General features: G+C 48.4%; 1 protein-coding gene across 5 annotated transcripts, besides 1 other annotated feature; it reads right to left on the bottom strand.

The window, feature by feature from the left end:
* Positions 1 to 331: 331 nt before the first annotated feature.
* CIMIP5 (ciliary microtubule inner protein 5) lies at positions 332 to 21780 on the bottom strand. Of its 5 annotated transcripts, none has more exons than XM_006711857.3 (4): positions 21317 to 21780; positions 14359 to 14398; positions 10766 to 10988; positions 332 to 542 (listed from the first exon to the last, which is right to left on the bottom strand). In XM_006711857.3, the coding sequence occupies exons 1-3, from the start codon at positions 21571 to 21573 to the stop codon at positions 10797 to 10799; spliced, it is 489 nt and encodes a 162-aa protein (XP_006711920.1). In that variant the 5' UTR covers positions 21574 to 21780; the 3' UTR covers positions 332 to 542; positions 10766 to 10796. The 5 variants fall into 5 exon arrangements, with proteins under 5 accessions (XP_006711920.1, NP_001358249.1, NP_872306.1 ...); NM_001371320.1 differs by lacking the exon at positions 332 to 542 and adding an exon at positions 3591 to 9903; NM_182500.4 differs by lacking the exon at positions 332 to 542 and adding an exon at positions 3591 to 8371.
* Positions 2110 to 2610: an enhancer, noted in NCBI's record as "H3K4me1 hESC enhancer chr2:11292424-11292924 (GRCh37/hg19 assembly coordinates)". NCBI's record gives its function as "activates a minimal SCP1, AML or CMV promoter by ChIP-STARR-seq in primed H9 embryonic stem cells {active_cell/tissue: H9 hESC(primed)}" and the evidence as "EXISTENCE:reporter gene assay evidence [ECO:0000049][PMID:30033119]".
* Positions 21781 to 22095: the final 315 nt, after the last annotated feature.

Here is a 22095-nt window from a genome sequence, read left to right as displayed (position 1 = left end):
GTTTTAGTTTCTCTCACTAAGCATTTCAGGAGTTAAAGCCTCCTGCTTAAGGGCTGAGTGCACCCTCCCGACTTACAGGTGGGGAACCAGGCTGGAGAGACTTTCTGGGACCAGAGCCCCAGGGTCGCCTCATTTGTGCCCTTTCAGAGCACGCGGCCTGTCTCCAGCCTGGGACTGAAGGCTTCCCTCCTAGCGGCGTGGGCCCTGAGGGGCCACCGGAAGCCTTGAACTTGAGCACTTCACAGTGAAACTGTTTCTTAAGGATTTCTCCTGATAAAGTAACTTGGACGTGGCCGTCTAAGCCACAAACTGAGGGAAAGGGAAGGACGCATTTTCCAACCTCTGAAAATCGCCTGTGTATTAGGGCCTGGTTATGAAGCAGGCAAAAAAGCACCAAAATGCAATGCCAGAATCCACGATCCCTGGTTTTGTGCCATAAATCTCAGCCGGGAAGTGTGAGGGACGGGAGCTGGGTCAGCTTCGGAGTTCGGAATTCTGGCCGAGGCTCTTTCTCTCCAGCCTCACCGGCCCATCACCTCCGCCTATGGAAAAAAAAAAACAGGTGCTGAGTCCTGCCTCCCAAGTCTAAATGAGAAAAGGATGTTCAGAAGGGAACCCTTAAAGGAAACGGCTTGGACCTGCCCTGGCTAGATCGATACTGATCGTTATTGACCCCGCGAAGCGGGAAGATTGCTTGAGGCCAGGAGTTCAAGACCAGCCTGAGCAACATAGGGAAACCCCCGCCTCTACTAAAAATACAAAAATTAGCCGAGCGTGGTGGCGCGTGCCTGTGGTCCCAGCTACTCGGGAGGCTGAGACAGGAGGATGGCTTGAACCCAGGAGGCGGAGGTTGCAGTGAGTCGAGATCGCGCCACTTCACTCTAGCCTGGGAGACAGAGCCAGACCCTGTCTCAAAAATAAATAAATAATATGTATATAAATTTTTTGAAGAAGAAAATAGAGAAGAGCTTTTTTTTTTTTTTGAGACGGAGTTTCACTCTTGTCGCCCAGGCTGGAGTGCAGTGGCACGATCTCTGCTCACTGCGACCTCCACCTCCGGGGTTCAAGTGATTCTCCTGCCTCTGCCTCCCAAGTAGCTGGAATTACAGGCATGTGCCACCACTCCCGGCTAATTTTTGTATTTTTAGTACAGACGGGGTTTCGAACTCCTGACCTCAGGTGATCCACCTGCCTTGGCCTCCCAAAGTGCTGGGATTACAGGCATGAGCCACCGCGCCCAGCGTAAAGAGCTTTTTAACAAGCATCAGCAGCAATGACTATAGGAACATCTAGAACCTGTTGAGTGCCTCCTGCGTGCCAGGTGTTTTACTTTCATCATGCCATGTGATAGGTCCCTTGATGCAAGGAGGTGGTCCTGGTTGGAAGTGCCTGGTTCCTGCCACATGGCAGTGGAATCCCCCTCCCTCCTCTTCCCCTTCTGCCCCAGCCTTTATTCCAGGGGTTGGCCAGGATCTGGGCCCCCAGGACTAGCCTTAGGAGGGAACTGCTCCCACCTGGGGTCAGCCTGCGCTAGCACTTGGGGATGCAGGCAGCATGAGGGGCCTTTGAGAGGTATGAGTGCCCCCAGGACCACGCAGGGAGTGGCCTCCTCCATTGTGGAACAAATGCTGCTCCTGGCCCAGGACACTGCAGCCGCCTGCTCTGGGGGTCAGCTGGGTGAGGCAGGGCTGTGGAAGAGGTTTCTTCCTGGCTCCTAGACCCCTCCCTGGCTACTTTGCGTGAAGACCAGGATGCAGTGATGTGGGTGTGTGGCCCTTCGGGGTTAGGCAGACCTCAGCTGTCCTCCTAGCATTGGCCCCTACAGGCTGCATGATCTTGGACAGACCTTAACTTCCCTGTTCCTCAGCGTCATTTTTAAAAGGGGAGAACCATCCCGCTCAGAAGGTTATTGAGAGGCACAGAATAGGTGCTCAACGTATATGGTCATTCCCCACCAGGTGCAAACTAGCAAAACCTTTTTGGGATTTGTGGGCACTGGCTTTGCTCCTGAAGCTGTGGGGATGGGGGCGGTCCTAGGTTGGAGCCAGGTTTGGGCCATGCAGGAAGGCGTTTGGGTCTCAGCCCCCATGCCCAGCGGGACATCTCAAGAGCATGCCAGCTCTTCTGCTTGGAGGATGGCCTCAAAACAGCTGATCTGCGAGGCTCCTCTGTCCCTTCAGGAGGTTGGGGAGTGTCTGGACGGGGGTCTCTACAGTGCACACTCACTGGGATATCTCTGCAGGACAAGATAGTGCCCCCATGTTAGAGACCTCTGCCTCCTCCCCAGCTACATGGCAACCCTGGTCACAATCTGTTACAGGACCCTAACCCCACTCCTGGGCCACAGCTGCACAGAGTGAATCAGCTCCCTGACTGAAGCTGGCCAAGGAGTCTCATTGAAACCACCTTTGCAAAAATTATAACAGGAAATTATGACAATGAAAGAAATCAGACCTAACTGACCCCATCTTGCTTCTAAACTTTAAGCTGTCCTGGTTCCTTCCTGGGCATAGGCTGAACCAACCTTGGGAAGGAATTTAGTTTATGGTTTGACTCTGAAACAAAATTAGTAATAATCCTTTCCCGAAAAGACCACCTTTGTGCCTTGGGACCTGTCTGCCTTTGTAGGACTAACAAATTAGCTACAAGATTAGAAATGACAGTTTAGGGTCAGGCAGCCTCTGGCTGCAAGAGTCTGAACCTTCCCAAATTGTTCCTGGGGATCACATCACTATTGTAAAACCTAAGATCAGTGCTTGAGGTATTTTGCAGCCCCTGCACTGGATGGATCAGCTGACACCACCCAGACCAATTATTTGGCTCAACCAGTTCTGCAATCCCCGCTCGGGAACAGAAGACAGCGAGAAAACTTCACTTCGACCCCCGTGTGATTCCATCTCCATCCTCACCAATCAGCACTTTCCACTTCCCAAGCCCCTACTGGCCAAATTATCTTTAAAAACTTCCATCCCCAGTCGGAGCGCGGTGGCTCACGCCTGTAATCCCAGCACTTTGGGAGGCTGAGGCGTGCAGATCACCTGAGGTCAGGAGTAAGAGACCAGCCTGGCCAACATGGCCAAACCCCGTCTCTACTAAAAACAAAAATTAGCCAGGCATGGTGATTTGTGCCTATAATCCCAGCTACTCTGGTGGCTGAGGCAGGAGAATCACTTGAATCCAGGAGGCACAGGTTGCACTGGGCCGAGATCGTGCCACTGCACTCCAGACAGAGTGGGTGACAGAGCGAGACTCCGTCTAAAACCAAACCAAACCAAACCAAAAACAAAAACACTTCCATCCCCGAATGCTCTGCTCAGGGAGACTGATTTGAGTAATAATTAAGCTCCAATCTCCCGCACAGCTGGCTCTGTGTGAATTGCTCTTTCCCCTGTCTTGATAAATGGGGTCTGTCTAGGCAGCGGGCAAGGTGAGCCCTTTAGGTGGTTACACCTTCACGTGGGAACATGGAATTGAGCAGAAACTGATTCCATGCCTCCCCCACCCTCACCCCCTGACTCTCTTCAACAGAGGAGATCTGAACTCGAGAGCCATTGGTGGTGGCAGTAAACCCAAAATATCTGAGACAGGTCTCAAGCAATTTAAAAGTTTATTTTGCCAACAGGTCCTGACGACACGTCCCCAAGGTGGCTGGGGTACAGCTTGCTTTTGTGCATTTTAGGGAGACCTGAGACATCAATTAATATATGTAAGATATACTTTGGTTCCATCCAGTAACACAGGACAACTCGAAGAGGGGGGCTTCCAGGTCATAGGTAGATAAGAGACAAAAGCTTGCATTCTTTTGAGTCCTTGATCAGCCTTTCAGTGAATTCACAATCTAGTCTGGCTCAGTGAATCTTCATTTTTACATACACAGTAGGTCTGAGGAAGCAATCAGATAAGCATTTCTCTCAGGTGAGCAGAGGAATGATTTTCTGTCCTGCACCTGTTAAGATCAGCTATCAGTTTACATTGCCAGGATGAATTCAACAGAAATGTTTCAGGGTAAAGTTTTGTTTTTTGTTTTTTTTTTTAATTCTTGGCATGATCCTGAGTAGGGTAAAGATCTTGAGGCCCACAAGGAATTTCCTTGTGGGCAAATTGTGAGGGAGGCATGTAGCTGTTTTATCTTTATAGCCATCTTATTCAGGAATTAAAATGGGAGGCAGGTTCCCAGCTTGACTTTTCCCTTAGCTTAGTGATTTTGGAGTTGAGATTTATTTTTCTTTCACAGTGGCCATTCCCCCACCTTCATTAAAAAAAAAAATTCCTAAACCACCGGGCACGGTGGCTCACACCTGTAATCCCAGCACTTTGGGAGGCTGAGGCTGGCAGATCACCTGAGGTCAAGAGTTCAAGACCAGCCTGGCCAATGTGGTGAAACCCTGTCTCTACAAAAATACAAAAATTAGCCGGGCATGGTGGCAGGTGCATGTCATCCCAGCTACTCGGGAGGCTGAGGCAGGAGAATTGCTTGAACCTGGGAAGCGGAGGCTGCAGTGAGCCAAGATGGCACCACTGCACTCCAGCCTGGGTGATAGAGCGAGACTCCATCTCAAAAAAAAAAGAAAAAAAATCCTAAACACAAATTTTTCGTTAAGCCACTTGCAAGTTTGTTATATACATCATGGGACTTTTCAGCAAACACCTCCTAAGAACAAGGGCTTTCGGCTGGGCACAGTGGCTCACGCCTGTAATCCCAGCACTTTGGGAGGTTGAGGCGAGTGGATCACGAGGTTCGAGACCAGCCCGGCCAGAATGGTGAAACCCCGTCTCTACTAAAGATACAAAAAATTAGCTGGGCATGGTGGCACGCACCCGTAATCCCAGCTACTCGGGAGGCTGAGGCAGGAGAATCGCTTGAACCCGGGAGGTGGAGGTTTGCAGTGAGCCAAGATTGTGCCATTGTACTCCAACCTGGGCAATGGGGTGAGACGCCGTCTCAAAAACAAACAAACAAAAAGAACAAGGACTTTCTTCTACAGAGCCTCAATGGACTCACCACACTCTGCACTTTCTCACTGATACAATGGTGTTAGCTAACATTTAGTCTGCAAAGTGTCCTTTAGAGCTGCTTTTGCTTTCACCCAGGATCCAGTCAAGGATCACGGGCTGAATCACTTCTTCAGCCTTTCTTTGTCTTTTATGACATTGACTTTTTTTATTTTTATTTTATTTTAATTAATTAATTAATTTTTTTTGAGATAGGGTCTCATTCTGTCACCCAGGCTGGAAGGCAGTGATCAGATCATAAATCACTGCAGCCTTGACTTCCTGGGCTCAGGTGATTCTCCCATCTCAGCCTCCCAAGTAGCTGGGACTATAGGCCTGCATCACCACACCTGGCTAATTTTTTGTATTTTTAGCAGAGATGCGGTTTCAGCATGTTGTACAGGCTGGTCTCAAACTCCTGAGCTCAAGCGATACTTTTACCTCGGCCTCCCAAAGTGCCGGCATTATGGGCGTGAGTCACAGCGCCTGGCAGACATTGACATTTTTGAAGAATCAAGGCCAACTCTTTGGCAGAATATTTCTCAATTTGGGTTTGCCAGGAGTTTCTTCCTGATTATATTCTAGTTACTTTTTTTTTTTTTGGCAAGAGTGCTTCCTAGGTAAGTAGGTAGCGTTGTCCTCAGTGAACCACACCAGGGGAGCACGGTGTCAGCTGTCCTGTTATTGGTGAGGTTTGGCTTAATAGTTTGGTTAAGGCAGTATCTTCTAGATTTCAGCATTTACCGTTCTCTAAGAATCTTTCACTCAGTCGTTTTAGTGTCTTTTATTGATTCTTGCCTAAGTCAGTTATTGCTGAGTCATTAAATGCTGATTTTTCTGTTATCATTTATTCTGCATTCTTCAATAGAAAAGAGTTTTCATGGCCAGGCGCAGTGGCTCATGTCTGTAATCCCAGCACTTTGGGAGGCCGAGGCGGGCGGATCACCTGCGGTCAGGAGTTCGAGACCAGCTTGGCCAACATGGTGAACCCCCGTCTCTACTAAAAATACAAAAATTAGCCAGGCATGGTGGCGGGTGCCTGTAATCCTAGCTACTTGGAGGCCGAGGCAGGAGAATCGCTTGAACCCAGGAGGCGAAGGTTGCAGTGAGCGAGATCGCACTATCGCACTCCAGCCTGGGGGACGAGAGCGAGACTTCATCTCAAAAAAAAAAAAAAAAAAAAGAGTTTTCATTAGTACTTAAAATTTAAAAAAATTATTGGTATGAACCCATGGATTATTTGTTATTGTTATTATTATTAATGTTATTTGGTGGGGCTTGTGGCACTGGCTGGGGGTGGGCATGGGCGTGGTCAGGGTGGCCTATTACTGTTCTTCATTTCGATGCTCATATTGTCCCAAATTTAGGCTGGTCCTTGTATCCCTTTTCCATATTTTCATCACTTTTTGAATTTTTCTTAGTTTCTGGCACAGGAAGTTGCTCCAGGCTCGCCTTGTACTTTCCGTGGATAGAAGTCATTTTTTATCATGTGGAAAGTTGGCTGGGCGCAGTGGCTCATGCCTGTAATCCCAGCACTTTGGGAGGCCGAGGCAGGTGGATCACCTGAGGTCGGGAGTTTGAGAACAGCCTGACCAACATGGAGAAACCATGTCTCTACTAAAAATGCAAAATTAGCCGGGTGTGGTGGTGCATGCTTGTAATCCCAGCTACTCAGGAGGCTGAGGCAGGAGAATCGCTTGAACCTGGTAGGCGGAGGTTGTGGTGAGCTGAGATCGTACCATTGCACTCCAGCTTGGGCGACAAGCTGGCGAAACTCCATCTCAAAAAAAAAAAAAATGTGAAGCAAGCATCCCTCCAGGCTTGCTATGGCTCTCAGGTCTTGATTCTTCCTTTCCTGAAGCCCTGCTGTCTCCTGGCCCTTGGTCTCCAAGTGCCCATCTCTTTATAGGTAATGCCCCCATTTCCTTTTGCTGGCACTGACCCTGCAGGCTTGGTGCCCACTTCTTCATGACCTCCTGGCCCATCCACCCTCCCTTGTTCTGGCCCAAACGAGCTGAAAGGCTGGCCTTGGGACTTCACTGCAGATGCCCCTCTGTCCTGGTTTTCTGGGCTCCCAGTGGGTGAGATGGGGAAGGTTAGAAGCAGGCGTCTTCTTGAAAAGAAGGCAGATGTGGCAAGGAGCAGAGGGTGGGTGGGGCTGGTTGTGAGGGATTTGGCGTGATGACAGGTCATTGCAGAGTACAGAAAGCAGTTCTGCATGCAGAAGCCATCAGTGTGCCTGCACAGTTCTGTTGGGCCCTTGCACCCTTGTGATGTGCCATGAGAAAAACATGCCCCAGGAGGCTTTCAGTCCAAGAGAATGAGAGACATGCACAAAAAACTTGAACCTAACCTGAAGTGTGGAGGCAAGTCTAGCCAAGCCCAGCCAAAATCAGCTGAGCCCCAGCTACATGCAGACCTGTGAGCAAGGAAGGGGGTGTTTTGTTACACAGCATTATCACAGCTGACTAATGCACTCTGTAAAAGAACTCAAACCCCTTTCTTCTTCAGTACTCCCTGAATGCTCAAAGAAGAGAATCCTGGAGCTGGAGATGCCCTTAAATCTGTCTTCTTCCCTCCCGCGCCATTTTATAACTGTGGAGACTGAGGCCTGGAGCGGGGAAGGCAGCATGGAGAAGTCACACATGAGATGGATCCTGGCTCTTCACTAGTTGTGAGACCCTGACCAGATTGAATGAAGTGTTCGGCTTAGTTTCCAAACCTCTCAAATGGTGACAATTCTAATACGTGCAAAAGACACAATGTGGGTAATGTGCCAAGCCCAGAGTCTGTGCTTATAGGTTGCATTGTCTGTAAGTGGCTGTGCTTCCAGGAGTGGCAGAACCGGCGCTGGTCCCTGGCCCTCCTCACTGCCCTCCAGGGCACTCAGTGATTCTCTCCCCTCTGCACAGGCCTGACCACTTGCAGCCATCCTTAACCTTGACTTTTCTTGTGCCTCTCCCTCCCTCAAATGGAAATCTTCTTTATTTTGAGTGTGAGAATAATATAAGGCAGGCTCAGGGCAAAAACGTAGATTGGGTCTTTAAGGAGCCTCCAGCATCTTTGTACCCACCCAGCCTAAGGACGAGCACTTGACCTTCATGGGATGCAGCCAGGATGTGACCAGGACCCCTGGCTGTCCTGGCCACTGACCTTTACCCAGCTGATGATCTCAGAGTGGAGAGGGAGCCCAGCTTCCATGTCAGACACTGAGAAAGAAGGCGGTGGCCTCCAGATCCAAGTAGGAAGGGTTGGGCCTCTTCCTGGCCAAGTCACACTGGGCCTGGTCTGCTCCATCACACAGTCGCTCAGGGCCAGGGTATGGCATGAAACACAGGGGCTGTTGCATGGAAATAACGTGTCCTGTCCTGTGTAACTCCTGGAAACACCGATGATCTATTCTTGATGGTAGTAGGGATCCCAGAGATTGGAAAAATCAGTTTTTCCTTTCTCAAGAATCAAGAGACTTTCTTTAAGCAGAAAAATCCTGTAATTTGCTAAATTTGGGGGAATCAATTCATTGAGGATTAAAGGGGACCCATATAGCATAATGCTTAAGTATATAGTCCTTGGAGCCAGACTCAACTGCTGAGTCTGAACCCCAGCTTCACCACTTGCCAGCTGTGTGACCTTGGGCAAGTGACTTAACCTCTCTGCGCTTTAGTTGCCTCATTTATAGGAGTATCTATCTCATAGGGTTGCTGAGAGGATTAAATGAGTTAATGCATGCAAATAACAGTGACATTTAGCTACTGCCGAATAAGACCCAAGCAAGCATCAAAGACAGAGCAGTCATTTCAGCCCCTGCCCCATTTTTCTCTCTTTTCTGGAGGCCACGGCTGGGGTCCTGCAGAGAACACTGGGCTTCAAGCTTGAGGCCTGGCATTAATGTATGTTCGGGATTTTATTTCACCTCTCTGAATCTCAGGTTTTGCCTGTATTAAATGAATACGAAATCCCTGCCTGTTGATTCTCTTGGGTTGTTGAGAAAATAAATTTAAAATGCTTTACCCTAGAAGTGTGGGCTATTGTTTTTGTTTTGGCCAGTTTTTGTTTATTTTGTTTGTGTGTCAGTGTGGGTGTCGGGAGATTCTGCTCCACGAGCTCACTCAGGGCTCCAGGCTTGGTCCTGACATGCTCCCTCCATCTTGTGCCCCTCTCTTCCCTGCATCCTCCAAGTCCTCTCCCTTCTTCAGCTGATGGGGAAAGGAGAACAAGCCAATACCTGGAGTGTCTCATGGACCAGGCCTGGAAGGGAGACCTAGGGTTTTTGCTCCCATTCCACTGGCCATGGCTCTGTCACATGCTCCACCCAAACCAAGGGAAACCACAGCCTGGCAGAGCACCCAGGAAGAAGAGGAGAATGCGGATGTTTGAAAGAATGAATCCATTTGTGTTTTAACCAACAAAGAGGAACTAAGCCTTTTCTGCATTTTTTTGCTTAAATATAAAGGTTGTGATATAATCACAAGGGTCCTTAAAAGGTGGAGGAAGTGAAACCAGATGCCTGTAATCCCAGTGCTTTGGGAGGCCAAGGTGGGAGGATCATTTGAGCCCAAAAGTTCAAGACCAGCCTGGTCAACATAGTGAGACCCTATCTCTACATAAAATTTTAAAAATTAGCCAGGCATGGCCGGGCGCAGTGGCTCACACCTGTAATCCCAGCACTTTGGGAGGCTGAGGCAGGCGGATCACCTGAAGTTGGGAGTTTCAGACCAGCCTGACCAACATGGAGAAACCCCATCTCTACTAAAAATACAAAAAATTAGCCAGGCATGGCGGCACATGCCTGTAATTCCAGCTACTCAGGAGGCAGAAGCAGGAGAATTGCCTGGACCTAGGAGGCGGAGGTTGCGGTGAGCCAAGATCACACTGTTGCACTCCAGCCTAGGCGACAGTGCGAGACTCTGTCTGGAATAAAAATAAAAAAAAAATTAGCCAGGCATGTTGCCATGTGTCTGTATCCCTAGCTACTTGGGAGGCTGAGGTGGGAGGATTGCTTGAGCCCGGGAGTTCAAGGCTACAATGATTTATAATTGCATCACTGCCCTCTAGCCTAGGTGACAGAGTAAGACACTGTCTCTAAAAAAAAAAGAGAGAGAGAGAGAAAGAAAGAAAAGATGAAGGAGTGAGGCAGGAGAGAGCAAGCGATAGAGACTGATTTGAAGATGCTAGGATGCTGGCTTCAAAGACGGAGTAAGGAGCTGCCAACTAAGGAATACAGGCTGCCTTGAGAAACTGGAAAAAATGTGGAAATAGATTCTTCCCCAGATACTCCTAAAAGAGCACAGCTCTGCAACATGTCACCCATGTCAGAGTTGTGATCTTCAGAGCTGTAAGATGATACGTTTGTGTTGTTTTAAGCTATGCAGTTTGTGCTCACTTGTCACAGCAGCTGCAAGGAGTGAACACACTGAATCGCAGGAGGGGAGACGGAGGCACAGAGTGTTGCAGCAGCCAGCTCAAGGTCCCACAGCTCATCAGGGTCACAAGCTGGATTTGAACCCAGGCATTCAGTGCTCCTGACCACAATGCAGGGTCCCTTTCATGGGGCACCCATGAGTTCCCAAGCTGGAAGGGCTGGGGATTGTACGGCCGTGGACCAGTTACTGACTCCTCTGAATCTTACGTGTAAAAAGTGTGTAAGAGTGACCCCTTGGGTCCCCTGGAAGAGTGTCCTGCAGCTTACAGACAGTGCAGACCCAAGCTGCCTTGTGTGGGGAGCTGACTGGTGCTGTTGTGGGCTGGGTCTCTTGTCCCCACCCACACCCACCTGGGGAAGGCCAGCCCAGCCCTCCTTGCTCCTAGATGGGCTGCATCTGGTCCTCCAGCTTCTTCTTCCGGGCCCCTTCTGTGAAGAAGAAGTCCATGCGGATGAGAGTCTGTCCCAGGGGTGTGTCCAGCCTGCTGCCCACAACCTGGTTCGTGGAACTGGGAACTGTGTCCGAAAAGAGAGGCACATGGTCTGGCAACTTCTCAGGCTCCTTCTTGTTGCCCTGAGGAGAGGGGACAGCTCGGGTCACACAGAGCGTGGAAAAAGGAGGACCTTAGAATGGGAGAAAACAGAGCAGAGAGCAGCTGCCTCTCTTTGTGAAGCATCTCCAGGTGATTCAATCCTGGTTTGGACTTGGGATCCCCCAAGAGTGACCCGATGCCACAGCCTCTGCCAAGCTTGTCCCTCCTCTTCCTCCACTTCCCCTTCCCCAGGTGCCTCCCAGATCCCTTAACTTTCATGCTGCGACCTGCAGAGATCAAGGGAAGGATCAGGTCTTATTCCCCTTTCTATCCCCAGGACTAAGATGCCACTTTACATCTGGTGGGAGGTTTTGATTTTTTTTTTTTTTTTTGGTAAATTTGTACTTAAGAGTATAACATTCACACAGAAAACGCACAAGCCATCACTGTCCAGCTTGACAAATGTTCACAAAGTGAAGATGCCCATGTGCCCAACCAGATCAAGGGGTATGATCCCCTCCCCCACCTCCTTTCAGCCCCTCAGCCCCTGTCTCTGCTCCCAAGGCACCCTGACCTTGACCTCTAATGCCACGCATTAGCTTTGCCTGGTTTTGAACTTTACATTAGTGGAATCATGGCTCTTCTGTCTGGCTTCTTTCTCTCAACATTATGTGTGTGAGATTCATTCAGCTTTGGAGTGTGGCTGCCGTTCATTCATTCTCAGTGCTGTACGTTACTCCATGGTGTGAACTGTACTCCATGGTGTGAACTGTACTCCATGGTGTGAACTGTGTGAATATCACACAAGTTATTCACCTGTATCACCACTGATCACACTTGGGTTGATTCTAGTTTGGGGCTTTTATGAGTAGTGCTGTTTTGGCCATATGTGAACGTGCGTTTGGGTAAACTCTGTAACGGATGCATGCATGAATGAATGACTAAATGTAATCTGATGGCCAGGCACCATGGCTCTTGCCTTTAATCCTGGCACTTTGAGAAGCCTTGGCGGAAAGATTCAGACCAGCCTGGGCAACATGGTGAGACCCCGTCTCTACAAAAAAATACAAAAATTAGTTGGGTGTGGGGGCACGTGCATGTAAGCCCCAGCTACTCAGGAGGCTGAGGTGGGAGGATCACTAGAGCCCAGGAGGTTGAGGCTGCAGTGAGCCATGATCATGCTACTTCACTCCAGCCTGGGCAACAGAGTGAGACCGTATCTCAAAAAAAAAAAAAAAAAAAAAAAATCTGACAAGTGGGAAAACATCCTCAGCTCTTCCTGCCCCTGTTTAGGGTTACCTTTCTGCTACCCTGTGTCTAATAGAAATGACATGACCTGTCAAGTAAGGAGATCATGGTTTTCACCTGGCAAAGTCCATGCCGAGGTGGCTCCACCCTTTGGCCATGATGCAGATTTCAGTAGTCAGGTTGCTATCATGTAGCCCTTAGCAGGGAGAGACTCTTACAGGCTGGAAGCCCAGACCAGATGCACAGGTCGGGATATCAGGTCCCATGAGCTGAATTTTCCCTCCAGAATAGACAGCAACAAGTCCAGCAGGTCCACAATGCAGGCATTAAAACTTTCCTCAACCTGGCAGGGTCCAGGTAAGCATGGCCACCCCCTCGAGTGACTTTCCATATTGCTCATCTTCCAGGTTGGTTCTTTGACCATCTTTTTTTTTTTTTTTTTTTTTGAGACTGAATTTTGCTCTTGTTGCCCAGGCTGGAGTGCAATGGCGTGATCTCTGCTCACTGCAACCTCTGCCTCCCAGGTTCAAGCTATTCTCCTGCCTCAGCCTCCCGAGTAGCTGGAATTACAGGCATGCACCAGCACACCCGGCTAATTTTTGTATTTTTAGTAGAGATGGGGTTTCTCCATGTTGGTCAGGCTGGTCTTGAACTCCCAACCTCAGGTGATCCACCTGCCTCGGCCTCCCAAAGTGTTGAGATTACAGGCGTGAGCCACCGCATCCAGCTGATCATCCTTTTTGTAGTGAGATCCATCTTTCCATTCATTCATTCATCCAGCATGAACTGAATGTTCACTCTTTTATGGTCTCTGGGGGATGGGGCAAATGCTAGGGTTGTGATAGGGTGCAGTGATGAATTCATATTCATCTTTTCTCTTTTTAAAAAATAATGTTATTTTTGTAGAGACAGGGTCTCCCTATGTTGCCCAGGCTGGTCTTGAACTCATGGGTCCAGGTGATCCTCCCACCTCAGCCTCCCCAAGTACAGGCATGGGCCACCATTCCTGGCCTCATCCTTTCTCTTAAGGAGTTCACAGCTGGTGAAATTGGGCATTGCAGTATTACATTACATGGAATACCAAAATAACGGGTGAGATATGCTGGTGAATCAAAGGAAGGAGTGATCTGGTCAAGCCTGCCCAGGAAGGTGAGATTCCCTAGAAGAGGGGGCACTAGAGCAGGATCTTGAAGAGTGAATAGGAGTCCATCAGGCTGACCAGGTGGAAGGACATTCCAGCAGGGGACGAGCATGCCCAAAGGCATAGATAAAAGAGTGTTGTGGGGGCTGGGTGTGGTGGCTCATGCCTGTAATCCCAGCACTTTGGGAAGCCGAGGCAGTTGGCTAATTGAGGTCAGGAGTTCGAGACCAGCCTGGCTAACATAGTGAAACCCCCTCTCTACTAAAAATACAAATATTAGCCAGGCATGGTGGTGTGCACCTATAATCTCAGCTACTCAGGAGGCTGAGGCAGGAGAATCACTAGAATCCAGGAGGTGGAGATTGCAGTGAGCCAAGATTGCACCACTGCACTCCAGCCTGGGCGACAGAGCAAGACTCCATCTCAAAAAAAAAAAAAAAAAAAAAAAAAGTGTGTTGTGGGGTCTGTGTGGGGTGGGTAATGAGGCTGGGGAGATAGATGGTTTAGATCACAGGAGGCTTTGTAAGCCACCTGAAAATTTCAGACTTACTGAAGCATTTTAATCAGGGGAGCTACATGGCCAGTTCTGCCGTTTAGGGAAATTAGTCTGGTGGCAATGTGGAGGATGGATTGGAGGTGGTGATACCAGAGTCAGGGAATTTGTTTACAAAGTATTTTTACCCAATCTCATTGTCCTTCTCGGGCACGCCACACAGATATGACTACATATTGCTGCCATCCTCAATCAGGGGAGACATTTCAGCAACAGATGCCTGTCATTTCCAATTGGTTCATCTTAATAAAATTAAGAAACACTGAGGGAAACACATTTCTAAATGCTTCATGTAACTGTTTTCTATCCAACGGACCCTGCATTCCTTGAAACAAGAGTGTATTTGACTCATCGCTGCACATCCAGTATCTGGTGTAGAGTAGATCTTCAATAAATGTTAGTTGAATGATGGAAAGAATGAGTAATATTCAATTGCAAGTATGTTTGGCAGGAACATATTTTACCTTACCATTGGGTCATAGTCTTTCAGGAAACTCCAGTTCTGAATCCTGGAAAGGAAAAACATGTTGGCTGTGTGAGTTCCTTCCAGGACATTTTTACCAATGACTTTCACTGTGTCAAGTCAATGCAACAATGTATCACGTGGAAGAACTAAATAATTTTTTTTTTTTTTTTTTTTTTTTAAGACGGAGGCTCACTCTGTCACCCAGGCTGGAGTGCCGTGGCGCAATCTTGGCTCCCTGCAAGCTCCGCCTCCCGGGTTCACGCCATTCTCCTGCCTCAGCCTCCCGAGTAGCTGGGACTACAGGCACCCGCCACCGCGCCTGGCTAATTTTTTGTATTTTTAGTAGAGATGGGGTTTCACCGTGGTCTCGATCTCCTGACCTTGTGATCCGCCCGCCTCGGCCTCCCAAAGTGCTGGGATTACAGGCGTGAGCCACCACGCCCAGCCTTTTTTTTTTTTTTTTTTTGAGAGGGAGTCTCGCTCTGTCACCTAGGCTGAAGTGCAGTGGCATAATCTCAGCTCACTGCAACCTCTGCCTCCCAGGTTCAAGCAATTCCCCTGTCTCAGCCTCCCAAGTAGCTGGGACTACAGGTGCATGCCACCACACCCGGCTAATTTTTGTATTATTAGTGTAGATGGGGTTTCACCATATTGGTCAGGCTGGTCTTGAATTCCTGACCTCAGGTGGTCCACCCACCTTGGCCTCCCAAAGTGCTGGGATTACAGGCATGAGCCACTGTGCCCAGCCAGAACAAAATAATTTTTAAGTGAAACAAATGCCAAGTGTCAAGCAGGTATTTATGGTGTATCCTACCAAAGGAACAAACATTTCAATTTCCAATGACTTTTCCTAGAACGACAAATATGATGTCACTATGGTGGGGCTGCCTAAGGAAAGCAAAGGCTACCATCTCGCCCTGCCTCTGTGCATTTCAGAAGGCTACAGTAGGCAAGCATTCTCTGAAGAAAAAAGTTTTCACATCCCCAAACCTTTGTAACTTTCCAATGTGAGTGATAGAGGAAGGCTAGGGAGAGGTAGGAAAAGGGAGGGACCATAAGGATAGTATTAGCTTGCACTGGCCATTTAGTTTTATTTGAATCTAATCTTAAAAAGTCAAACAATTCTACAAAACATAATAAAAACAGCCTTCTCTGTCCCCATCCTCACAGCCCCTGAGCCCCACATCCTAGAGTCAAACCTTTGCCAGCCTTTTAGCTGTTTCTTCAGGCCTTTGCATCCATATTTTGAAATAATAGGATTCTACTGCTGTATTATGCCATTCTTGCCTTGCTATAAATAATACCTGAGACTGGGTAATTTATAAAGAAGGTGTAGGACAGGTGCGGTGGCTCACGCCTGTAATCCCAGCACTTTGGGAAGCTAAGGTGGGTGGATCACCTGAGGTCAGGAGTTCGAGACCAGCCTGGCCAACATGGTGAAACCCTGTCTCCACCAAAAATACAAAAATTAGCCGGGCATGGTGGCGGGCGCCTGTAATACCAGCTACTAGGGAGGCTGAGGCAGGAGAATCGCTTGAGCCCAGGAGGTGGAGGTTACAGTGAGCAGAGATCAAGCCACTGCACTCCAGCCTGGGTGACAGAGTGAGACTCTGTCTCAAAAAATAAAAATAAATAAAAATAAAAATAAAAAAAAGAAGGTGTAATTGGCTAACAGTTCCACAGGCTGTACAGGAAGCAGGATGCTGGCATCTGCTTAGCTTCTGGGGTGGTCTCAGGAAACTTACAATCATGGTGGAAGGCAAAGTGGCAGCAGGCAGGTCACATGGCCAGAGCAGGAGCAAAGGAGAGAGAAGGGAAGTGCCACACACTTTAAAAGAACCAGATCTGGTGAGAACTCACTACTGTGAGGACAGTACCATGGGGATGGTATAAACCATTTATGAGAAGCCACCCGCATGATCCAATCGCCTTCCACCGGGCCCCACCTCCAAAACTGGGGATTACTATTCAACATGCGATTTGGGTGGGGACACAGATCCACACCATATCCACTGCTGTTTCTTAATATTTTTTAAAATTTAAACTTATCTATCGACTTTCTATTATGGGAGATGAAGAGTTATCATTCTTACCCCTGCCCTTCCCTTTGTTCTTTCAAAATCATTATAGATCTCAGTTAAATTGATATGTATCGTTTTGATTCTTATGATTATGTAAATGTTATCCCCTGGTGAACTAAGGAGTGCAATATACCCCAATTCTGTTCTTGTACAACCTTGTATTCTTTCTAGAGCTAATAGAGAAATTACATTTCCTCCCAATTTTATTTAGGCTTCTATGTACTGATCATTGATTTCACATGCTCCAACAAAACTGAAAAGTCCCTCTCAATATTATTTTCTACACAGTCATGTGCATCAGATAATAAACATTCCTTTAAAACCTTTCTGCCAGGCGCGGTGGCTCACGCCTGTAATCCCAGCACTCTGGGAGGCCGAGGCAGGCAGATCACGAGGTCAGGAGATCGAGACCATCCTGGCTAACACGGTGAAACCTCGTCTCTACTAAAAATACAAAAATTAGCCGGGCGTGGTAGCGGGCACCTGTAGTCCCAGCTACTTGGGAGGCCGAGGCAGGAGAATGGCGTGAACCCGGGAGGCGGAGCTTGCAGTGAGCCGAGATGGCACCACTGCACTCCAGCCTGGGTGACAGAGCAAGACTCCGTCTCAAAATAAAGAAAGAAAGAAATAAAATAAAACCTTTCTTAGACACCTCCTCAGAAGCCCCATATCCTCCTGCTCCCACTGGCCTAGCCATGCCTCAAGATCACAGGCTGGTCTTTTCCTTCACCAACACACTGGCATCCCCCTCTTTGGGAATTCCATGTCTCACTTTCTTGTTAATGCACCTGTTTTTGTGGAGCACCTACTCCAATATCTGTGGACTCATGCATTTCTTTGGTTCTGGAAAATTCTCACTTACTTTCTCTTTAGACATTCTCTCTCCCATTCTCTCCTCTGGGAGTTTTGATTAAAGATAGGTTGGACCTTCTTGTTCAGTTTCTCTACGTTTTTAATTCGTCATTTGTGTTTTCTGTCTTGATTTTCTGAATAATTTCTCCTGTCTTGAGTTTATGAAGTCTCACTTCAGTTATGTCTTATATTTCAACTTTATATATTTTTATTTCTACAAGTTCTTTTTGTTTTTTGTTTTTTTTTGAGATGGAGTCTCACTCTGTCACCCAGGCTGGAGTGCAGTGGCACAATCTCGGCTGATTGCAGCCTCTGCCTGCCGGGTTCAAGCAATTCTCCCTGCGTCAGCCTCCTGAGTAGCTGGGATTACAGGTGCACACTACCATGCCTGGCTAATTTTTGTGTTTTTAGTAGAGATGGGGTTTCACCATGTTGGCCAGGCTAGTCTCGAACTCCTGACTTCAGGTGATCTGCCCACCTCAGCTTCCCAAAGTGCTGGGATTATAGGTGTGAGCGATTGTGCCCGACCTCTTGTTTCATTTTTATAAGCAGGCTACTAGAAAATTTAAGCTATGTGTGTGGCTCACATTGTATTTCCGTTGGGCAGCACTGCCTTGCACATTCCTCTTTGGGCTTTCCAGGCCTTGCAAAACTCTTTCCCCTTGGTCTTTATGCCTCCTTGTGCCCCTGGCTTTCTTCTCTGGTGTTTCCTGGCAGCGTCTCTGCCCTTCTAGTAAATGTTACAAGTTCTGTCCTGCATCCTCGCCTCTTCTGATCCATTGTGCTCTTCCAGAGAGAGCTTATTCACATCGCTGGGGCCAATGCCCACCCGTTTCCTTCTAAAATTGAGATAGAATTCACATTCCATAAGATTCACCTTTTAAAGGACACAATTAAATGACTTTTAATATATTCACGGAGTTGGGCAACCATCACCACTTTCTGATTCCAGAACATTTCATCACCCCCAAAACACCTGTGTCCATTTGCAGTCAGTCCTCATCCTCCAAAACACCTGTGTCCATTTGCAGTCAGTCCTCATCCTCCCCTTCTGGATGGGTTTTTAATGCGCAACTCCTGACTCTCACACTCAACTACCTCCTGGGCAGCTCCATCTAGACGTGGTTCAGGCATTTAAAACTCACCAGAACTCAGCATCTTCATCATTTTCTTCTCCTCCTTATTAATTATTCAAGCTGAGACCTGTCATCCTTTACTCCTTCCTCACCTTTCCTCCCACATTTACTCAGTTTGTAAATATTTTCTGTCATTCTGTAAGTTGCCTTTTCACTCTGTTAATTGTTGTCTTTGCTGTGCAGAAGTTTTCACATGCAAAAGAATGAAATTGGATCCTTTCTAACATGATACATACCAATCCAGTCAAAAACATAGGAAGAAGCTTCATGACATTGGTCTTGGCAATTATTCCATGGATATGCCACACAAAGGACAGGCAACAAAAGCAGATAGACAGATGGGATTACATCAAACTCAAAAACTTCTGAAGAGCAAAGGAAACAAGCAATGAAGTGAAAAGGCAACACACAGAATGGGAGACAATATTTACAGATCATATTTCTGATAAGGAGTTAATTTCCAAAATATATAAGGAACTTCTACAACTTCGTAGCACCAAACCAAATAACCCAATTGAAAAAATGGGTTAAGGACTTGAATAGATATTTCTCCAAAGAAGATAAATAAATGGCAAATAAATATATTAAAAGATGATCAATGTCACTCATCATCAGAGAAATGCAAATCAAAACCACAATGAGGTCAAACACGGTGGCTCACACCTGTAGTCCCAGCACTTTGGGAGGCTGAGGCACGTGGATCATCTGTGGTCAGGAGTTCAAGACCAGCCTGGCCAGAACTTGCAGTGAGCTGAGATCACCCCACTGCACTCCAGCCTGGGCAACAGAGTGAGACTCTGTCAAAAAAAAAAAAAACCAAAAAAACCCCAAAAAAAACCAGCCTGGCCAACATGGTAAAAACCTGTCTCTACTAAAAATACAAAAATTAGCCAGGCATGGTGGAGGGCACCTGTAATCCCAGCTACTCAGGAGGCTGAGGCAGGAGAATTGCTTGAACACAGGAGGCAGAGGTTGCAATGAGCCGAGATCACACCACTTCACTCCAGCCTGGGTGACAGTGTGAGACTTCATCTCAAAACAAAACAAAACAAAAAATCACAATGAGATACCACGTCACACCTATTAGGATGGCTGTTATCAAAAAACAAAAGACAATCAATGAGTGTTGGCCAGCGTGTGGAGAAACTGAAATGCTGAGATACTGCTGATGGGAATGCGAAATGGTGCCACTGCTATGCAAAAGACAATGGAGGTTCCTCAAAAAATTACAAATAGAGGTACCGTATAATCCTGCAATCCCTCCGATATGGTTTGAATGTTTGTTCTCTCCAAATCTCATACTGAAATGTGATCCCTAGTGTTGAAGGTAGGGCCTAGTGGGAGGTGTTTGGGTCACGAATGGCTTCGTGCCATCCTTGCGGTAATGGATGAGCTCTTGCTCTATTAGTTCACAGGAGAGAGCTGGTTGTTAAAAAGAACCTGACACCTCCTCTCTCTCTGTCTCTCTCTCTGTCTCTTGGTCCCTCTTACCATGTGACATGCCTGCTCCTCCTTCACCTTCTGCCATTATTGTAAGATTCCTGAGGCCCTTACCAGAAGCCAAGTGGATTCCAGGACTATGCTCGTACAGCCTGCAGAACTGTGAGCCAAATAAACCTCTTTATAAATTACCCAGCCTCAGGTGTTCCTTGACAGCAATGCAAAATGGACTAAGATATCCATTTTTGAGAATTTCTCCAAAAGAACTGAAATCACTCCCATGCCCATTGTAGCACTACACATAATAGTCAAATGTGGAAGCAACCTAAAAGTCCATTGACAAATGAATAAAGAAACTGCACACATATATACATTCACCCTTAAAATGGGAGGAAATTCTGCGATATGCAACAAGATGGATGAACCTGGAGGACAGGATACTAACAAAACAGACATGGAAAGTCAAATATTGCACAATTCCACTTCTATGAGGCACTGAAAATAGACTCCTGGAAGCAAAGACTAGAATGGTGGGTGCCAGAGGCTGGGAGGAGGGGGAATGGGGCGTTGCTAATCAACGGGTATGAAGTTTCAGTGGTGCAAGATGAATGCATCCTAGAATCTATCAGGCTGCTCACTTAAAAATGTAATCGAGATCATGCCATGTTCCCGCTTAAAATCCTGGATGGTGTCTCCTTTGGAAAAAATGCATCCAGACTTTTATAAGGGCTGGGGTGGCCCCCGCTGCTCCCCCTCATCCTGTGGCCTTCCTCACTCCCTGTGCCTCAGCTACACGAATTCTTTGTTTTGTTTTTTAGATACATCAAACTCTTGGCTCCTTCTCCTATTTCATGTCTCAGCTTAAATGTCTCCTCCTCAGAGAGGCCTTCAGCCGGCTCTGCCCCCGACCCTGAACTGTTTCCTTCTTACCGCTGGTCACACTTCATACAGATTTGTACTTGTTTGCTTCTCTGCTTGCTTTTTGGCTGCCCTGTCCTGAGTATGAAGGCTCGGTGGAGCCATGGCCAGGTCTGTCTAGTCCCTTGTTGCAGTCTGGTCTCGTTTCAGAGCGGCTCATGGGTATTTTTGGTTGAATGAATGCATGAAGGAGCATCCTTTCCCCGAGTCAGGTCAGACAGCCAGCTCCTCTAACCCAGACTAGGCCAGCAGGCTCCAGCTCAAGGGATTACCGGCCGCGTCGCAGTCGGAATGAACGAGGTGGGGCTGCTCTGACCCAGCGGCATCTGGTCTTGGCTTCCATCTTCCTCGCTTCTTAGGCTCAGGCTCGGGTCTGGCTCTGGGCTGGGCTGGTGACCCACCTTCCCCCGGGCATGCCATGCCCTCTGTCCCTCAGCCAGATCATTTGCCCTCCCATCTCCCTTTCTCCAAAACCTTCCCCAACTTGCAGTCAGGCTGCGGAGTCAGGGTGGAAAAGGGAGGGCAGGTACTCACCAGCGCTGCTGGCCCCGCCGCTCGGCCTCCAGGAGCTCCCGCCACAGCTGGTCCTGCTGCACGCCATCGCAGGCAGCTCCCTGAGCCACCCGCTGCGCCTTCAGAGCCTGGGGGGCCTGGCAGCCACCAGCAAGACCCCTGCTGGCCATAGGGCCACCCCGGGCAGCTGGGGAGACCGAGGCTGGTGGCCTGGTGGGGGGCAATCGGTACCCAGCTGATGTGGTTCTCTGGAGCCCAGGGGTGGGGTGGCTCCCCATGGTGCAAGTGTGTGTGTGTGTGTGCGCTTGTGTCAGAGAGAGAGAGAGAGAGACCTGTGCCTGAGCTCAGCTCAAACCTCCTCCTGGAACACTCTGTCCCTCCTAACCCCGGGAGAGCCTGGGCAGGGTCCTCCTCACTGTCCCTTTAGGCCTCGAGCTCAGAGTGGCCGATGGGGACAGGGCTCTCCGGGCTGGGGAGAGCATTTGAGCCCAGTTTCGTTTTGAACTCCCGCCTGTGCTGTGTTGACTGTTGTCCTGGGAACGGACAGCTCCTAGGAAAGGGGCGGGCCCCGTGTGTGTGTGTGTGTGTGTGTGTGTGTGTGTGTGTGTGTGTGTGATCTGAGCCCTAGGGCTGGGGGGCAGAGAGTTCCTGACTAGATGCCACGCCCAGTTCAGCAGCCCCCTACCCCAAGGCCGGAGTCCTCCGCACAGGGTGGGGGAGGGGGAGGGAGCAAAGCTGGGGCTCCTGGGGGCCACCCCCACCATTATTGCACTTGCTTCCGGCAGCCCGTCAGGCCGTGG

The sequence above is a fragment of the Homo sapiens genome, chromosome 2 (genome assembly GCF_000001405.40).
Source record: "Homo sapiens chromosome 2, GRCh38.p14 Primary Assembly".
Lineage (NCBI taxonomy): Eukaryota > Metazoa > Chordata > Mammalia > Primates > Hominidae > Homo > Homo sapiens.
This window is presented reverse-complemented; position numbering and strand designations above follow the sequence as displayed.

Bases quoted from the DNA above. Each gene is read 5' to 3' on its own strand.
- CIMIP5 (XM_006711857.3), bottom strand. From the start codon at position 21,573: ATGGGGAGCCACCCCACCCCTGGGCTCCAGAGAACCACATCAGCTGGG. The intron at 14,399-21,316 runs GTGAGTACCTGC...TTTCCTTTCCAG, and splicing joins CGGCGGGGCCAGCAGCGCTG to GATTCAGAACTGGAGTTTCC. The intron at 10,989-14,358 runs GTAAGGTAAAAT...CCCTCTCCTCAG, and splicing joins TGAAAGACTATGACCCAATG to GGCAACAAGAAGGAGCCTGA.